Genomic DNA, 4136 nt, shown 5'->3' with positions numbered 1-4136 from the left:
GGTCTCTCCTCAGACCTCCAGCACTAGCTAGCTGTGTGACCTTGGGCAAATCATGTAACCTCTCTGGACCTCAATAATTTCATTTTTGGGGGGAAAAAAGGGTCTAGGTGCATTTCCAAGTTCTCTTCCTGCTCCAAAACATAGGCCTTTTGAAAAGTGTATGCTGAGCATAAATCATTAACCCAATCTTCCCCTGAAAATACAAATTCTTGGGAATATCAATGACAGAGTGGCTTTGCATGTAATAAGGAGGGGAAATACATCCCTACAGACTAGTCAAAAGATGTGCATGTCACCCATAATTTGGCCAGCCCCTGAGTGTAGAGACTTCGCTGGTACAGAGGGGAGTAGATGCAGTTTTATTACTGCAATTTTATTGCCCTCACCAGCTGCACTCTTTTCTCTATAAAAGGTAATTACTTCCAATAGTAACAAGCTAATTGATTGCTAATTAAATCAATTGGCACACTAACCGCTGTCAGAAAGTGACAGATTAGCAGGTCATGTGATGGCGTGTTAGTAATGAAAAGTGGACATGGTCTGAGGGTGATTGACACATGAGATGAAAAGCGATTTGGGATCTCCGAGGTGGTCAGAGAGAGGGCAGGGAGAACATGATTGATTCAATGGTGACTGTCAGAGAGGAAATGAGAATTGAATGGAATTCAGGGTCTGCCTGAACCCTCACCACATGATGCTCCAGGTTTTTTCACATGTAAATAAGGGAGATGGAGACTTCTTGCAAATGAAATGCCAAAATAGGAAGGACAAAAGGGAGGGGCTACAGAGAGTGAAAGTGTAGAAGCCTTAAAGGAACAGAGCCTTTTTTTTTTTTCATTTAAAAAGTGTGAAAATACAATAAGAATGATAAATATTGTTCATAACTTGCCCATGAATCTGGGCAACTTGGTGCCTGTGTACTTTTTTTAGGTGCCTTTTAGAAGGGGTTCATCTTTGGTCATTAGCAAAGAAAGTATTTATTGTCTGCATTAGCCACACATCACAGCCTGACTAGGATAATGAATGAGGAATAAATTTGGGGTGCAGAATAAGTGCACCATGACTCAGTTGCAATGTTATAAATATGTTTCAAAGTAAGTGATGGAGTCAGACTGTTGGCATTCTACCTACTCACCGCCTTGTCTGTAGCAGGCTTCTACTTCTGAAGTCACTTTTGAAGTTCAGAGCTGCCCTTGTACAGAGGAGTGAGAAACCACCCGCGCTGTGATTTGAGGTCAATGGAGGATCCCTATCCTTACACCTACTGGAGCCCCAAATCCTATCATCAGTCATTTATCTCTTTGGGATTTGAAGTCTTCTGAGTCCCCTCAGTAATAAATGGACAAGTAAGGATCCGAGGGTCAGTCCTGGCTCTGTATTTACTGGCTGTGGACATGCAAGGTCAGCCTAACTTCTCTGAGCCTATTTCCCATCTGTGAATTGGCTAGAATATTACTTGCTTCCCAGGGCTGTCACGTGAACTAACTGAGATAATTCATGCAGAATACCTGTGTACAAACAGTGTTTGATAAATAAAAGTTAGTAACATTAATATTAGCAGTAGATACTTTATTAAGCATCAACACAGACCTCGGCACAGCCTGGTGTGGAAAAAAGACCAGATTCTGGAGCCAGAAACAGGTGGGATAAACAAAATTCTGAAACTTCTATCCCCTTGAGAAATGTATGTAATTCCACACATCCTCATTTTAACATTATAAAATAGAGTAAAAATCCTTTTAAAATACAAATGGGGATATTTTGAGGATTAAACAATCTAATACACATGGACTTTCAAACGCAGATGCTAGAAAGTGTTAGTTCTTTCTGCTACACTCTGGATACTTCAGAAAAATAGGCAACACCAGTCCCGTTGTGGATCCTTGGAAAGCTGGTTTTTCTGAGAAGAAAGAGAAAGGCAAGTGGTAGAGACTTGGGAAATCTCTGGCCATTATATCCTCCACAAGTCCGTCTGCTGTGCACCTGCACCATTGAAAATGTTTCAGAACATTCAAATTGTAATTTCAGTATCCAGTGGGCAGGGGGTTGGTCCCATAACAAATCAGCCCTAACACAGGATCTACACATGTTTCACCTGTCCTTGCTGGGCTAGATTCCATCTCGTTCCAACAATGATCCGTGGGGCTCAGCTTCACAATTTTGCTGGTGACATGGAGTTCTCAGACATGAGTACGTAGAGAAGCAGATGGACAGAGGTGTGAACTGTGTTTCCTCCTGCAAAAGGGCAATCTCTGTCACACCCATGGCTCTCCTGAATGCTGTAGAGGACCAACTCATTGGAGGTCAACAATTTCTCAGCAGCACAGCTGTCCCGTAATATCCTGGATCCTGGAAGAAACAGAACCATGTGTTCTCACCCCTCACAGGGCACACATACACATCCTGCTCTGCTTCTGCTCAGACCACACTGCTTCTCTGCCAAAGGAGAGTGTTCTCACAGCACAGAGAAGGATCTGTCAATCCACAGGGACTGGTCATGATGTTGAGAGCTTTTCTGAGTGACTCAAGGAGGTAGATAATACAAATTCCCATAGTGCTTTTCAAGACATAGCTCAGTGTTTTCAACCTTGTCTGCCCATGGTAGGACATACTTTTCTGGGCCCTCCCCTTGAGATCCTAATTTCAGTGTCTGCAATGCTGCATGAGTATTTGGGTTTCTTAGAGCTTCCCAGGTGATTCCATGACAGCCAAAGTTGAGGATGATGACTAGGTTAGACAAGACAAACACTTGTGTGGAGCAAGGGAGTGCTTCATGGGAATGAGGAACAAGCCCAAGTCTCTGGGCTCCTGAAGGAGAGCTCATTGCATAGCCAGGTTCTGGGGAGCTCTCTATTATGCTGAGTTCCAGGCCTTGCTGCCAGGCATAGACAGTGTTTTGGGATTTTGGGCTGTTGCTCTCTTCTTTCCCTCCCTCTTTTATGTCCAGAGTCACAGTGCCCCACAGATACCATGGACAGAGCACATGCCCTTCTCCTGGATCCCCCTCCTTGAGGTGTCCAGACTCTAGAAACGGTAGTCCTTTGGTGAACTCTCAGATGTTCAGAATCTCGGGCAGCTTCCATCTCAATAGTTGGAGGCTGTGATAACTTCAGCAGGCGGCTTTCCATGTTTGGAAAAACACGTCCACAAGATGGCTTTTAACAAATTGTCATTTTGATTTTCAGCTTAGGAAAATGTAAGGAGTCTTCATGGCTTGAGCTCATCTCCCATCTGGACAGAGGGAGGCCAACCAGCATTAGAAAATGGATGAGTTCTTCCCAGGCCACCTTGTCTGGGGGTGCCCAAGAAAGTTACCATTATCTAATACCATGTGCCCACAGAGCTCAACTCATCACCCAGGTTTTCATCCAGTTACAGAACCAATGTCCTTCCAGAGCTCATTGCTTTTCTCAGCAGATGGGGAAGCCTCAGTCCAGAGACTGTATGGAATAATGGTTAAGGGCATGAACTCTGGAGCTATATTGCTGGGTTTAAAGCCTGGCTCTACCACTGTCTAGCCATGTGACTATGGACAAGTTACTTGTTTGTGCATATTTCTTCATCTGTGAAGTGGGGCTAATGATATGTATGTATGCCATAGGATTGCTGTGAGCATTAAATAAGCTAATATATCTAAGAGCATAAGCTAGTATTATAACAACATAAAAAGCATCAGGCAGAGAACTCTCAGAGAGAGGATTCTGAAAATATAGAACTTTGTATATAGAACTCATTCAAATATATAATTCATTTTAAATGATTGGAGGCTGATGCTTTCCAGAAACTATTGGGGAGAAAAAGCCCTCCTTAAAATTAATAGTAGTAGTTGTTGATAAGTCTGAATTGGGCAACTTCAGATAAAGATTATATCTTTTCCATTTAATTATTTGTTATTTTATTCAAGGAAGCAATCAATTTTAGCCTAGATCACAGAGTGTTTGATTGAAAAGGGACAATAAAAAATGAGAGGATCAACAGAACCAGCTTAGCAAAAGAAGACTATAATATGCTCCTAGACAGTCTCCCACATTTGACTAAGGGGTTCATGAGTTGCTATAGTGCTAAAGACAATCACTGCAGTGATGAGCCAGGTGTGTGCTAGGTGCTCACTTTAACCCTTATAACACCCCAGAAGC

At 42.7% G+C, this 4136-nt stretch overlaps 1 annotated feature.

Annotated features, from left to right (window-relative positions):
- Window positions 386-927: an enhancer, noted in NCBI's record as "OCT4-NANOG hESC enhancer chr2:119287395-119287936 (GRCh37/hg19 assembly coordinates)". NCBI's record gives its function as "activates a minimal SCP1, AML or CMV promoter by ChIP-STARR-seq in naive H9 embryonic stem cells {active_cell/tissue: H9 hESC(naive)}" and the evidence as "EXISTENCE:reporter gene assay evidence [ECO:0000049][PMID:30033119]".

Source organism: Homo sapiens, chromosome 2 (genome assembly GCF_000001405.40).
Source record: "Homo sapiens chromosome 2, GRCh38.p14 Primary Assembly".
In the NCBI taxonomy this organism is placed as follows: domain Eukaryota; kingdom Metazoa; phylum Chordata; class Mammalia; order Primates; family Hominidae; genus Homo; species Homo sapiens.
The sequence above is the reverse complement of the archived record's forward strand: the minus strand, read 5'-3'. Positions and strand labels throughout refer to the sequence as shown.